Genomic DNA, 16,750 nt, shown 5'->3' with positions numbered 1-16,750 from the left:
TTCCAAAAGATCTCCCTAGCTCAGCCCTTCAAGATCTGATCATGATGCTTTGCACTTGGCTACATTTCTTTTTATCAATTCATTTCAAGCAGGTTCATCTGGCCTCCATGATTGGACCTTGGCTGGGATGTGACATTTCTTTATCTCTCTCTGTTGGTTTGCTCAGCGTTCAGCCTGTAACTGACTGAATGTCCAGGCCTCCCAGCCAGTGTGGGCCTTGGGGCAGGGTGGGCAGAATGGGGATCACTGCACTGCTTTCTCTTTCCATCTCATTCAACACACTTCCATCGTAGAATCTTAACATCTTGGCACTGAATGAGAACTCAGAGGTCTGATCTGTGCCCACTTAGTGGAGATGTAACCCAGAGAGGACAAGTCACTGTCTTAAAGGCATAGAGTTCACACTGAAGGTGAGGTTAAAATTCAGACCTGCCTTGGGGCCAGCAATGTTATATGGTGGGCTCTGAGCAGGACTCTGGGGACACAAAGTGAGTCAGAGAGGCGATGCCCTGCAGGAAGCCCAACTAAGTGAAGGAGACTGACTCATCTGCAAAATATTGTAAAATACAATGATTAGGACAGTAGGGTTTGCACAGTGCTTATAAGATGCCAGGACTCAGTGGCTGTGTTCAGCCCAACCCAACTACAAGAAGGGACTGATACCCATCTTAATTTGAGATTCCCAGGACATCTCTGTTCCAACAGGCCTCAATGACCCCCATAACCTGACCTTATCTCACTCCCTATTAGATGGCACCAGCATAGAGCACAGACAATCTCTGGAATCTGCTTGGTAGGACTCCCATATGAAGACAACAAAATATTCTTACCCAAGGAGAAAAAGCCCTGTCCAAACCACATGGAACAAGGTTTGATTCTACCTTTATAGTCAAGTGTTACCAAAATGTTGCCCCTTATCAAGACTATACAAGCAATGCAGGCCCAAGATTATGATTTGATTACAAAGTTTAGCATATGTTTATCTGTAGGATGTTTTCATTTTGGCATTTATTTCATGGCATAGGGAGATTTAAAAAGCACCACCAACATTTGTAAGCCTAGGAAAATATCTAGGCTTACAATTCATCAAATGGTGCCTGAGAAGGGATTGGGCGTTGATGATCTGGTGAAATCCCAGCATATCATGCTGCCCAGCCCCAGTTCTGACTGCACTCCCCGAACCTACTGGAGAAAAGCGCTGTTAATTAGGTGCCATTGGCACAGGTGCTCAAGCCACAAGCTTAGGTGTTCAGGGTCTGTACATAAATTAGTCAAAGAAAAGATAAACATTTTGGCAGAATAAGCATATTCTCAGGGGAGAAAGAGAGAACTGCAGGGCTTGTGTTTTCTAAACTTGTTTTGAAACTATAAAAATTTATTTTAGAAAAGAAATGTTTATCAAATGAATGCTCTGAATTGTGAACTCAAGGTATAAAAATTGTTAGCTGAGCATTTTTGTCTCTGAGACTTTGAGAAAAGGGAAAAGTAAATACAAATGATGTCCTCCCCACCACTTGCTCCAGAATGAGAGCAGAAAAAAGGTTTCTGGAAAGGCCCAAGCTGAAAAGACATGGCAGAGCTTCAGATCTGTTCAGTGCTACCCAGAGAAGGCTGGACACCTAAACTCACACTCAAAGTGGAGATTTCCAGAGAGAGACCCAGCAAATAAGAACACAGTCAGGCTGAGCAAGTCACCGAGGAAGGCTTGATGTGAAAGCATGGCCTCCACGCAGTCTGCAGGATCTACACCTTTCTTGACTGTGAGTCCTTTCCAGCACAGGAAAGGTTGGTTGGAAACCTGGCTATGAAAGTTCTACTTCTGTGTGGCCTCAGACCTGGCTCCCATGGTGACTTATTGTGATTCTTACTTTAAAAGACTCTGCTTTGTGGGAACCTTTGATTTACATTAGCAATAAATTAAGATAATCACATCTAACATACTATTCCAGTGTAACTTATCTAATGCAGGTAATCTCATCTAACATATCTGTAATAGAATTCAGTTTAAACATGTAATTAAGCCATATTTTTCAGCACAATTGGCCTGGGATGGAACTTTAAGGAGGTCTGGTGGGAGTTAACTCAACAACTAAATCCCTGTTGAGAACAGGGAGGTGACCTAAATGAGGAAGGTGGGTCTGCTGTGAATGACAGGACATGGGACTGCAGGGAGGACACCCCAAGCCCTGCTGAAAGGGACCTCAGCTGAGCCCACTGCTGCCATGTGGGAATGCAAGGACTATGTTCAGAGAGATCCTGATTCTTCAAGAGAAATGGGAAATCTAGATTCTTAGTGATACAATATTGGCATCTAAGTTATATATAGTTTTAAAGTACTTTTCTAGACAAATAGAGCGTGTCTTTGGGAAATATTTGTCTCAAGGCCTGTCATTTTATGATCACGTCATCCTGATATGTATAGCATGATGCCAGAGGAAAGGTAGGAAAGTATGTCACCCTTCGAGGTCCATATCTTGTCCTCATTAACATCATGCTCTCCATTCCTTATTAAAAACTTTTGCTGGTTCCCCACAGACTCTACCAGAGGTAAGAAATAGGTTCATCTTGCTGGCCAATGCAAATCAAGTCATAGTTGTTACTCAAGGGAGTTCTGCTTGAGAAGGAATCTGGGCTCCAGCATGAAGGAGTGCTGGGATTGATTAATGATGTCTACTATGACCACATGCTAGGGAGCAGTGTCTTACCACATGCATGTCTTATATCTGCCACTGAGATCCATAAATTTGGTCCACATACCTTAGCAGAGTTTTGATGGTCTTCAAATCTCCATCTGTCTTTCTAACCTCAAGCCCCGCTCCCATACTCCCACCAACATGCACCTAACACTCAAACTCCCCCTTCCCTCTACTCAAAGAGATCATCATTCCTTACATTCACCTTGCTTTTATAATTCTTGCTCTTATGTTCTTCTCTGTCTGAAATGCCCTCATCATTCTTGTCTGCCTCCTGTGCACCCCTCAAGACACGGCTCAAACATCACCTTCTCCATAAAGTCTTCCCCGTCTCTCCAATAGTAACACTCATGTGCCCCCATTTTACTTTTACATTTTACCCATGTTTACAGGAGGATTTATAAACGTGACCCATTCAAGGTCATAAATCAGGTCTTAATTATCTATGTGTCTCTGGCACACCTGGCACCACAACAGACTCAAAATGTATTTATGGATTAATGGAATTTATTTATTAATGGTGATTTAACTTCTTATGAGGTTTGAATCAATGGCATATCTTGGGCCAAGTCTCCCAAAGTTCAGTTGTCTGTGTGATATGGTTTGGCTGTGTCCCCAACCAAATCTCAACTTGAATTGTAGTTCCCATAATCCCCACATGTCATTGGAGGGACTCAGTGGGAGGCAATGGAATCATTGGGGCAGTTACTCTCATGCTGCTATTCTTGTGATAGTAAGTGAGTTCTCACAAGATCTGATGGTTTTATAAAGGGCTTTTTTCCCTTTTTGCTTGTTACTTCTCCTTCCTGCCACCATGTGAAGAAGGATTTGTTTGCTTCCCCTTCCACCATTATTGTAAGTTTCCTGAGGCCTTCCCAGGCATGCTGAACTGTGTGTCAATTAAAACTCTTTCCTTTATAAATTACCCAGTCTCAGGTGTGTCTTTATTAGCAGTGTGAGAACAGACTATTATAGTGTGGGACTCTTACAGCTTTTGTCATGTCTTCAGATCTTAAACTAGTTTGTTTTATCATTGGAGAAAGACAGCACATTAAGCTGGTTTGAAGTGATAATATGCATATTTTGTGGGTGATCTATAACATCTGATCTCTCCATCCTTCCATTAACTTGTGGAAGGAGGCTCACTTGCTGAAGATTTATAACTTTCATAGGCATGACTGGCCACTGTCCTTCAAATTCACACAGTTTGGGAAAGGCCAATTCAGCTCTGCCTACTCAGCTTTGTCCCAAGCAAGAATATATCTGTAATTCTTTGTGATAATGACATTATTGTCTAAAGTACATTAAAATAAATGTATAGATATTAAAAATCTTGAAAGGTATGTCTATGTGCCACCAAGCCTCATTTGATACATCCCCAGTGGCACATGTGCCGTGTTTGAAGAAATGCTGAAGTAAGAGATGTATTTCCTGAAAGCACACAGTAGGCACAATTGAAAGGCTCTGCTGACACATCGCAACTATGATTTATAAATCTCATTTGAAGATGCCATTAAGATGCCCATCTTACTGATGACTAAACAGAAGTCCCAGAATGACAGCACCTCCTACTCACTCAAGATGGATATTATAACTCAGTTGAAGAGTCTGATGCTCCATTGTCTTCCCTAAATCACTGTTGGCAACTCCTCATACAGAGGGTGCTTGTTTCAACACAGATTTATGGCCACAGAAGCCTCCCTTTCCTTTCACAAAATGGGATGAGTCACCTGACTCTCTCTTGTCTTGCAGGAAGACGCAATGCTTACAATATTCTAATAATTGTGTATTTTTAAGGATATGGATCCCCCTGTCCAGCAGCCTGTGGTCAGGCTCTTCAGAATAGACTATAAATCCTGCCTGCCACAGAGACCACATGCCCAGTTAAATGCCACAGCAGGGCCGGGCATGGTGGCTCACGCCTGTAATCCCAGCACTTTGGGAGGCTAAGGTGGGTGGATCACCTAAGGTCAGGAGTTCAAGACCAGCCGGGCTAACATGGTGAAATCCTGTCTCTACTGAAAGTATAAAAATTAGCCGGGTGTGGTGGCACACACCTGTAATCCCTGTTACTTGGGAGACTGAGGCAAAAGAATTGCTTGAACCCGGGAGGCAGAAGTTGCAGTGAGCCGAGATCGTGTCAGTGCATGCCAGCCTGGGTGACAGAGTGAGACTCTGTCTCAATAAATAAATAAATAAATAAATAAATAAATAAATAAATAAATAAATAAATATAAATAAATGCCACAGCAGGCAGGTGGTCCAGGGCACTTTCAAGGCCCAGAATAGCCTACAGAACACAGATGAGCAGAGCTTCTTGGGAAGCCAGGTGCTGACTCTTTGCCTGGATTTTTGTGTACAGAGATTCCGAGTACCAATCCAAGTGCTGCTCCCTTTATCCAGCAAGTACACATTTAGCTGTTTCAAAAACAGCCAGAAGAAAATCATTGGGGCAACATAAACATAGCCATTTGATACCTTTGCAGAGATAACTCAATCAAAAACTCACTTCCCACTGCCTCTACCACTACCAAATTTTCAAGGTCAGCCAGGAGCAGAATGCTTGCTGCCCAGCACTGCACTTCCAACTGCCTTACTTCCTTATAGATTTCAGTAATCTCAGAAATTACCATAAATTTAAAAATAATAACTAATATTGATAAACTTGACAGTTTAGGGTACTTCAAGTATGTTTCTTCAGTGGTTACCAAACTGGAGTCAATTGCATACTACCTTTAAGATTTGTATATTTACATATCACCTATAACATTATTAACATAATATTCTGAAGTGCTGACTTTGGAGATGACTTGGCTCTCTAAGGAGCTCTGTGGACCCACTCTCCACCAAAACAATCATAATTGGAGAAAATTTGTATTCTTTAAAAAAAAACATTTAAAGGATACTGGTTTAACCATTTAAATGGAAACCATCCTAAGGGCAGACATCAAATAAGGAGGCATCGATTTAAGAAAATCTCTGAAATCTCAGAAAGAAGAGCAAGTGGCACATGAGCCAGAACCCACTTCCTTCTTCCACACTACTCAGCTAAGAATAACAGAATCTCTATTTCAGACAGATGTGGTCAAAGATGGGGCTCTTACCACCCCCATACGCCAGGTGTAGCTGTGTTATTTCCCAAGGGGAGGCAGGCTACCAACATTCCTCATCTCCACTCTAGCTCCATGTGGCAGAGTCTAAATACCAGGTCAGTGTGACTAAGAGAGACACAGGCTCCCTTCCTCCACCCAGCCCTACTTGCAGGTCAGATGCCCCACTCCATGCATGGCAAGTTGAGACTACTATGGCCGAATAACCCTCACGTCAGCTCACTCATAGGCCATAAGTTCCAATTTGGGAGAGGCAGGCTGAGAATACTAGAGGCTAGTGTCCCCACCCAGCACCCTGCTTTTAAAATAAAGATGTCACCCAGAGAAAAATGGACCACTGCACCTGGTGTCTCAGATTTTTAAGAAGGAAGAGGAGCAGGTCATAAGAACAAAGAGCTCCCAAGCTCTCCCTAAAGGAACTCAGTCTTTATGGACCACACTCTTGTGAGGAAGTTCAAACCTAAGGGTATTCTCAAAAATAATGGAGTTTTTTTTTTTTTTGTAGTAAGCAATTAAAAAGGGACTGGCAGCTGCAGGTGAGCAACTATTAATATATAAACTCAAAGTCAGTTTCCCAGAAAGAATCAGATAAAGAGCTCTCCTGGGGTCTGGACAAACCTCAGAGACGCCTCAAACACTACCCCTCAAAGAGGCCTGAATTTAATGTATCAGACTGTGGAACAACTTATGCCCCGGGGCATTATTAGAAACAATAGAGGGATAAGCTGGAAAGTAGTGGAGCCTAACACCTTGGTATGATACCAACAGAAGTGAACAATTTAACAGAAATATCATGTAAGAGGCAGTGAAGGCCAGGCATGGTGGCTCACGCCTGTAATCCCAGCACTTTGGGAGGCCGAGGGGGGTGGATCACCTGAGGTCGGGAGTTTGAGACCAGCTTGATCAACATGGAGAAACCCCGTCTCTACTAAAAATACAAAATTGGCCAGGTGTGGTGGCGCATGCCTGTAATCCCAGCTACTTGGGAGGCTGAGGCAGGAGAATTGCTCGAACCCAGGAGGTGGAGGTTGTGGTGAGCCGAGATGGCGCCACTGCACTCCAGCCTGGGCAATAAGAGTGAAATTCCGTCTCAAAAAAAAAAAAAAAAAAGGGCAGTGAAAGAGCCCTACTAAAGTCACTGTCATAGCAGGGTGACTATCAGCATGCCCAAGGATGTGCCTTCTGAGAAGTGACATAAGGTGCTCACATTGGAAGGGAAATAGACTTTAATTAAATTTATCAGTCAGGTTGCTAAACGAACAAATAAGCAAACAACAAAAAGCCATGGGCATAGAGATCAGTACCCAGAGTGGTAAAAGCTTTCAAAAACAATGAAAAATCACAAACATGAAAAGAAATGTTGTCTTAGTCAGCTTGGTCTGTTACAACAAAATACCATACACTGGGTGGTTTAAACAACAGAAATTTATTTCTCATGGTTCTGGAAGATGGGAAGTCTACGATAAAGATGCTAGCAGACTTGGTTATTAGTGGATGACCACTTTCTGGCTTGTAGACAGCAGCTTTCTCACTGTGTGCTCACATGGCCATTCTTAATGCACATGGAGAAATGATGTCTCTGTCTTTCTCTTCTTATAAGGGCACTAATCCCATCACAGAGTCCCATCCTCATGACTAATCTCAACTTAACTACCTCCCAAAGGCCACATCTCCAAAAACCATCATGTTGGTCGTTAGGGCTGCAACACATGAATTGGGTGGGGGAACACAAAATTAAGTTCATAACAGAAAAGTGTTACCCACTGAAGGAAACTAAATATTTCATTCTTAAAATATATTTCGATATATTTTTAGACGGCTGTTCAAAGGACCTGACAACAGAAGTAGCTTTGCAAAGCTGTCTTTTGTGGAGCAAATTTGCATCTGTAGATACTCTACATTGATATGGCTAAGCTTTCTCTGAGGACCCTCCCTTGTGCAGATCGAGGAAATAAGCCTGACAACTTTAAAGGCCTGAAAGAAACATTTACTATCTCTTCTCTGAGGGCTGCTCCTTGTGGGGTTTCAGCTACATGGCAAGACCACCTTTGCCAGCCAGGCTTCCTCTTCTGCCTCTCCTATAACCTCTTTTGCCATAGTCCAAGCCTCCATTTTTTCTGTAACCTCGAGACGGTATAAAAGTGTCATATACACCATGGAATACTATGCAGCCATAAAAAATGATGAGTTCATGTCCTTTGTAGGGACATGGATGAAGCTGGAAACCATCATTCTCAGCAAACTATCGCAAGGACAAAAAACCAAACACCGCATGTTCTCACTCATAGGTGGGAATTGAACAATGAGAACACGTGGACACAGGAAGGGGAACATCACACACTGGGGCCTATTGTGGGGTGGGGGGAGGGGAGAGGGATAGCATTATGAGATATACCTAATGTTAAATGACGAGTTAATGGATGCAGCACACCAGCATGGCACATGTATACATATGTAACCTGCATGTTGTGCACATGTACCCTAAAACTTAAAGTATAATAAAAAAAAGTGTCAACCATTAAGCTATTTCTTTGAATTCTTTATGTGACTTCTTTGCACATTAATAAATGTGTATGACTTTTCTCCTATTAATCTGCCTTTTGTCAGTTGATTTTTCAGCAAGTCTTCAGAAGGCAAAGTGGAAGTTTAGCCTTGGCCCCTACACCACTCACAGTGGTAAAAAACAAAACAGGTACCAGATACTGCCTATGAGAGAGCACAGATGTTCAATGTAACAAAGAGTTGAAAGCAGCCAGTATAAATATTTCTAAACAATGTAGAAATATATTTAAAGACATAAATATGTTCAGAATTAGCATAAAGAAGTAAAAGAAGGCACTATGACAATGTACCAATAAATAGACAATATCAGAAAAAGAAATTTTAAAAAATACCAAATGAAAGTTGCAGAGTTGAAAAGTAGAAAAACTTAAATGAAAAATTTGCTAGATTAGCTCAAAATAGATTTGAGGTGGAAGAAGAAATAAGCAGCAAGACTGAGGATAGACTGATATAGATTATGCAATCCAAGGAACAAAGGAGAAAAAAGAATCAATACAAGTGAACAGAGCTTAAGAGAAATGTGGTCATCATTAAGCATCTAGATAGATAGATAGATAGACAGACAGATATCATATATATATATCTATAAAGGAATGATGAGAATTCTAGGAAGAGTAGAAAGAGAAAGGAGTAGAAAAAATATTTGAAGAAATAATGATTGAAAACATCCCCAAATTTAATAAAAATTTTAGTCTACACATCTAAGAAGTTCAGACTTCAAGTAGAATAGAGACAGAGATTCACACTCAGACACATCACAGTAAAAATTATGAAAGACAAAGACACAGAGAAAATACTTAAAACAGCAAAAGAAAAATGACTCATCTTGTATAAGAGAAACTCAATAAAATTAATAGCTGACTTCTCATCAGAAATAATAAAACCTGAGGACAGCAGGATAACATTCAAAAGGCTCAAAAAGTAAACTGTCAACCAAGAATCCTACAACTGGCAAAACTATCTTTCAAAAATGAGGGGAAATTAATATATTCTTGATAAACAGAAACTAAGAGAAAGAGTTGCTAGCAGCCCCACCTTACAAGAAATGGTAAAGGAAGTTCTTCAAACTGAAAGCAAGTTACCTAGACAGTAATCTGAATCCACATTTTTTAAAAAGCATATATCCATAATGGGATTGCTGGGTCTAATGGTAGCTCTGTTTTAAGTTCTTTCAGAAAATTTCAGACTGCTTTCCACAAGGGCTGGACTAATTTACATTCCCACTAAAAGTGTTCTCTTTTTTCTACAGCTTTGCCAGCATTTGTTGTTTTTCAAATTTTTAATAAGTAATTCTACCAAAAAGACACATGAACTCATATGTTCACTGCTGTACTGTTCACAATAGCAAAGACATGGAATCTACCCAGGTGCCCATCAGTGGTAGACTGGATAAAGAAATGTGGGATATATACACCATGGAGTACTATGCAGCCATAAAAAAAGAATGAAATCATGTCCTTTGCAGCAACATGGATGGAGCTGGAGGCCATAATCCTAAGCAAATTAACACAAGAACCAAAAAGTAAACACTGCATGTTCTCACTTATAAGTGGCAACTAAACATTGAGCACACGTGGACATAAGTAAGAGAACAGACACTGTGGACTACTATAGAGTAGAGGGTGAGAGGATGGGTTAAAAAACTATCAGGCACTATTCTCACTACCTGGGTGACAGGATCCACACTCCATGTCTCAGCACCATGAAATATTCCCATGTAAAAAATATGCACATGTACTCACATTTCTAAAAAAAATGTTGAAATTAGAAGAGTACCAGTAAAAGAAATTACATAATTGTAAGACACAGTATGAAAGTATATTTCTTTTTCTTCCTTTCTTAACTGCTTTAAAATCAATAATATAAAACAGTATGTATACAATTATATTGTTGGGCCAATAACATGAATAAATGTAATATATTTAACAATAACAGCAAAAAGAATGTAGGTGGGAGCAAAACTGTATGAGACTAAGAAAATGACATCAAATGGAAACTTTGATTCACAGAATCAAATAAAATGAGCAAGCCAGAAATGGTACCTGAGGAAGTTAATAAACAAACTATATAAATATGTACTTGCTCTACCTCTTCTCTATGCTTCTGAGACATAACATTATATAAAGTCTAATTATAATAATGCATTATTGTCTTTATAACATATAGACATGTAATATCTATAACAAATATAGCACAAACGGGTAATAGGAAGAAGTTATATAAAATTAATGCTTCTGTATCTCACTGGACTTAAGTTATAAAATCTGAAGTTTATCTGATAAGATATATGGTAAACCTCTTAACAACTATTAAGAAAATAACTCAAAAATAGTGAAGATATCATTAAAGAAATTAAAATGTTACACTAGAAAATTTAAGTGATATGAGACATACAGGAAACAGAGTAAAGTAGAAAATGTAAATTCAAACATAGCAATAATAACATTCATGTTAACTAATTTAACAATTCAACAAATAGGCAGATTAACAGACTGGATTAAAATGGAAGATCCAACTATGTTGTCTACAGGAGAAATATTTTGAATTCAAAGATAAATTCGGTTGTGGATATCCCATTTACTCTGATGTGATTACTACACATGTATGCCCATATGAAAGTATCTCATGTACCCCATAAATATAAACACCCACTATATTATATATATATAATATAGTGGGTGTATAATATATATATAAATATATATGATATATATTTATATATAATATATAAATATATATGATATATATTTATATATAATATATAAATATATATGATATATATTTTAATATATAAATATATATGATATATATTTTTAATATATAAATATATATGATATATATTTTTAATATATAAATATATATGATATATATTTTTAATATATAAATATATATGATATATATTTTTAATATATAAATATATATGATATATATTTTTAATATATAAATATATATGATATATATTTTTAATATATAAATATATATGATATATATTTTTATACAATATATAAATATATATCATATATATTTTTATATAATATATAAATATATATATAATATAAACACCCACTACATATATATAATCAAAAATAAAAAATAAAAAAATATATTTTTAAAGATAAATTAGATTGAAAGGAAAAGGACAGAGGGACATGTATCATCCAAATAACAACCATAAGAAAGCCAGAGTGGCTACATAAACATAAGATGGATTTTTTAATGTTACTAGACAACAGTATGACAAGTATATATAGTTGTCATACTGTTGTCTAGTAACATTAAAAATATATACTGTTTGAAGTATATATATAATATATATTTTATATATATTATATATATATACTTCAAAACATCATGTTGTACAAAATAAATACACACAATTGTATTGGTCATTTTTTTATTTTTATTTTATTGTTTATTTATTTATTTTTGATATGGAGTCTCGCTCTGGTGCCCAGGCAGGAGTGCAGTGGCAAGCGATCTCAGCTCACTGCAACCTCCACCTCCCGGGTTCAAGCGATTCTCCTGCCTCAGCCTCCTGAGTAGCTAGGATTACAGGCATGCACCTGTATTTTTGTATTTCTAGTAGAGGCAGGGTTTCACCAAGTTGGTCAGGCTCGTCTCAAACTCCTGACCTTGCAATCCACCTGCCTTGGCCTCCCAAAGTGCTGGGATTATAGGCGTGAGCCACCGTGCCTGGCCTTATTGGTCATTTTTTAAAAAATTAAAATTAAAAGGGACCTTTTTTAATGATAAAGTGGTCAATATATTAGGAAGAAATAACAATTATAAATATATGTTCACCAAAAAACAGAGCCCCAGATCTATGAAGCAAAAATGGACAGAACTGAGAGAATAAATAGAAAATTCAACAATACTAGTGGGAGTCTTAAATTCCCAACTTTCACGATGAGTAGGACAACTAGAAAGAAGATCAACATGGAAATAGAAGACTCAAACCACATTATAAACGAATTTGACCTAACATATCTATAAAATACTCCACAAAACAACAACAAAATACATATTCTCCTTAAGTGTACAAGGAAAATGCTCCACTATAGACCATATTCTAGGCCATAAATCAAGCCACAGTTAATTTAAATAAGTTAAAATCATACCAATAATGTTGTCGGATCATGATAGACTTAAATCAGAAATTTAGAAAATATAAATAAACTTGAGAAATTAACAAATATTTTGAAATTAATACACTACTAAATAACCAATCAGTCAGCCAATAAATAACAAGAGAAATTAGAAAACATTATGAGGTTAATGAAAATGAAGACACAGTACACCAAAATTATGGGATGTAGCTAATATAGTGTTTACATGGAAACAGTAAGAATATAAGTAGTTAATGCTTATATAAAAATATAAGTTCTCAAATTAATAACCTAATGCTCTACCTTCAGACAGTGGAAAAGAAAAGCAAACTAAACCTAAAGCATCATAAGAAAGGATAAAATAAACATTAGAGCTGAATTAATGAAATATATCATAGAAAAAAATAGAGAAAAATCAGCAAAACCAAAAATTGTTTTTTTTAAAATATCAACAAAATTGATACACCTTTACCTGGACTCACCAAGGAAAAGGGAGAAAAAAACCCAAGTAGTTATAAAAGTCAGTAATGAAAGAAGGGACATTCCAACTAACTTTACAGAAATAAAAACGAGTTGTAGATAAATGTTATGAATACTTGTGTGCAAACAGATTGCGTAACCTAAGAGGAAATGGTCAAATCCCTAAAAAGACAAATAAAAATTGGTGAAACTGACTGAGAAAGAAATACAAAGTCTGAATAGGCCTATGACAAGTAAACAGATTAGATTACTAATCAAAAATAAGAAGAAGAAAAACCTACAAAGAAAAGCCAAGGTCTAGATATCTTCACTGGTAAATTCCACAAAATATTTAAAGAAGAATTAACACCAACCCTAGACAAACTCTTCCAAATAATAACAGAGAAGGGAAATCTTCCTGGATCATTCTATAAGGCCAATTTTATCCTGGTATCAAAACCAAAGAAGTCATATAAAAGGAAAATTCCAGATCAGTATATCCTATGAATATAGATGTGAAATTCTTCAAGAAAATAATAGAAAACCAATCCAACTATATATAGCTTCATATATTTATTTTTTTAACCATTTGTTGAAAAGGCAATTCTTTTCTCCCATTGCATTGTCATTGGTTTATATAATAAAACCAACAATGGTTAAATAAAACATATATACACACACACATACAGAGAGAGAGAGAGAGAGAGAGATTTTACACCATAACCTAATGAGATTTATCCCAGTATCCCAGGAATGTAGGGTTAGTTTGACATCAGAAAATCAATTAGCAAAATGAGCATATCAATAAAGAACAAAAACACATGATCAACTCAATGGACACAGAAAAAGCACGTGACAAAATATACAACCAGTCCATGTTAAAAACTATCAACAAACTAGGAATAGAAGAGAAACTCCTCATTCTGATAAACGGCATCTACCAAAGCCCACAGCTAACATCAAGCTTAACAGTGAAAGTTTGTCACTAACGACGATCTTATGCCACCGTAAGATTAGCAAGAAGATAGGATATCTTCTCTCACCATTTCTATTCAACATTGTACAGGAAGTTCTAGCCAAGAAAATTAGGGAAGAAAATGAAATAAAAGGTACCTAGATTAGAAAGGAAAAAGTGAATTATCTCTCATTACATACGACATGCTATTATATATATAGAAAATCCTATGGAACCCACTAATAACAATTAGAACCAATGAACAAATTCAGCAAGCATGCAAGATACAAGATCAATATACAAATATAAATAGTATTTCTATAGAATAGCAATGAAAATTAGAAAATTAAATTAAGAAAATAATTGCATTTACAAAAGCACGAAAAGAGAAAAAAAATACTTAGGAATGAACTAAGAAAGAGGTACAAAACATGCTCTGAAAACCAAACCATTGTTGAAATAAATGAAAGAATACATAAGCAAATGAAAATACACCTCAGAATCAAAGTTCAAAAGATCCAATATTCTTTTTTTTTTTTTTTTTTTTTTTTTTTTTGAGACAGAGTCTCACTCTGTCGCCCAGGCTGGAGTGCAGTGGCGCAATCTCGGCTCACTGCAACCTCCGCCTCCCAGGTTCACGCCCTTCTCCTGCCTCAGCCTCCCAAGTGGCTGGGACTACAGGCGCCCGCCACCACGCCCGGCTAATTTTTTATATTTTTTTAGTAGAGACAGGGTTTCACCGTGTTGGCCAGGATGGTCTGGATCTCCTGACCTCATGATCTGCCTGCCTCAGCCTCCCAAAGTGCTGGGATTACAAGCATGAGCTACCACGCCCGGCCCAAAAGATCCAATATTCTTAAGGTGGCAATACCACCCCCCAAAAAAATTACCTACAAATCCAATGCAATTTCTATCAAAATTCCAGCTTTTCTAACAGAAATTGGTAAGCTAATTCTATTATTCATAAGGAAATGCAGCGGACCCAGAATAGCCAAATAACCTTGAAAAAGAACAAAGTTGAAACTCATACTTTCTGATTTCAAAACTTTCTAAATCAAGAGAGTGTGATGTTGACATAAGATAGACATATGATTCAATGGAATAGAAATTAAATAAACAAACACATTTTTGGTCTGATATGGTTTCGCTCTGTCCCCACCCAAATATCACCTTGAATTGTAATCCCCATAATCCTCACGAGTCAAGGGCGGGACCAAGTGGAAGTAATTGAATGATGGGGGTGGTTTCCCCCATGATGTTCTTGAGACAATGAGTGAGTCTCAGGAGACTGATGGTTTTATAAGCATCTGGCATTTCCCCTGCTGGCTCTCATTTTTCTCCCCTGCTGCTCTGTGAAAAGGTGCCTTCCACCATGATTGTAAGTTGCCTGAGGCCTCCTCAGCCATGAGGAACTGTGAGTCAATTAAATATCTTTTCTTTATAAATTACCCAGTCTCTAGTATTTCTTCATAGCAGCATGAGAACAGACTAATTCATGGTCCATTGATTTTTTTTTCAAAGGTGCCACAGCAATGCAATGGGAGAAAAGAACTGCCTTTTCAACAAGTGGTGATGGGACAATTATGTAGCCATTGGCAAAGAAAATGAAGTTATCTTTATTCAAACCATACATAAAAACTAATTCTAAATGATTAAAGATCTAAATATAAGAGCTAAAACTATACAATATTAGAAGAAAATGTGGAAAACTTTATGACTTTTGATTAACCAATGGTTTCATAGATATTACATCAAAAGTACAATTGAATAAAAAGTTAATTGGTTACATTTAGACTTGATCAAAACTGAAAACCTTTGTTCTTCAAGGAATACTATCAGAAAAATGAAAGGACAACCCACGGGATGGGAGAAAATATTTGCTAATCATATACCTGATAAAGATTTATATCTAGAATATATAAAGAGACCTCGAAACTGAGAAATGAAAAGATAATTCAATTTTAAAATGGGCAAGGACCTCAATAGACATTTTTCCAAGTTATATTTTTCATAAAAATCCACAAATGCTTAATATCATTAGCCATTAGAGAAATACAAGTCAAAATTACAATTTGATGCCCCTTGACACAGACTGGAATGGCTATAATTAAAAAGATAATAACTTTTGGAGAGGATATGAAGAAACTGGAACCTTCATTCATGGCTCATGGCTATGTAAAATGGTGCAACCACTGTGGAAAAGAGTTCAACAGTTTTTCAAAATGTAAAATATTGGATTTACCAAATGACCCAGAAATTCCACTCCTAAGTATACGCTCAAAAGAAATGAAAGCATATGCCCACACAAAAACATGTTTACAGATGTCCATAGTGACTTTATTCATAAAACTCAAAAAGTGAAATCAACCCAATTGTCCACCTATTGATGGATGAGTAAAATTTCAAATGAAATATTATTGGGTTATAAAAAGGAATAAACTGATACTTGCTACTGTGTAAATGAACCTTGAAACTATTATGCTATGTGAAACGTCAGACTTTAAAGACCAAAATATTGTATGATTCCGTTTATATGAAATGTCCAGAATAGACAAATAAATGGAGCTCAAAAGTAGGTTAGTGGTTGCCTAGAGCTGGGAAGGGTTGGAGAAAATGAGGAATAGTTGCTAATGGGTATGGGATTTAATATGGGGGTGATGAAAATATTCTTAAAGTGTTTGTGGTAATAGAGCTGACTTTACATTGATTTCTACATTTTTCTCAACCAAACTCTTGATGACAGTCCATATTTTATATGCTAATTTTGTACTGTTATGAGTGTTAAACTAAATTTGGTCTGAGGATACCTCTATGCTTTGAGTCCCCACATGAACAACTGTAATTAAACTAACTGAAACCCTAACT

The 16,750-nt window shown here is 37.1% G+C and overlaps 1 protein-coding gene across 10 annotated transcripts in view; it reads right to left on the bottom strand.

Annotated features, from left to right (window-relative positions):
* Positions 1-16,750, bottom strand: part of TMEM132B (transmembrane protein 132B) — a 475,992-nt gene that overhangs the window by 38,120 nt on the left and 421,122 nt on the right. The window contains exon 1 of one of the 10 annotated variants that reach the window (NM_001286219.2): positions 1,630-1,806. The exons of the other annotated variants lie outside the window; for them this stretch is intronic. The gene's annotated coding sequence lies outside the window, so the exon portion shown is untranslated. Of the gene's footprint in view, positions 1-1,629; positions 1,807-16,750 lie in introns of those variants that run through there. 10 annotated transcript variants of the gene reach the window in all.

This window comes from Homo sapiens, chromosome 12 (genome assembly GCF_000001405.40).
Source record: "Homo sapiens chromosome 12, GRCh38.p14 Primary Assembly".
In the NCBI taxonomy this organism is placed as follows: Eukaryota; Metazoa; Chordata; class Mammalia; order Primates; family Hominidae; genus Homo; species Homo sapiens.
The sequence above is the reverse complement of the archived record's forward strand: the minus strand, read 5'-3'. Positions and strand labels throughout refer to the sequence as shown.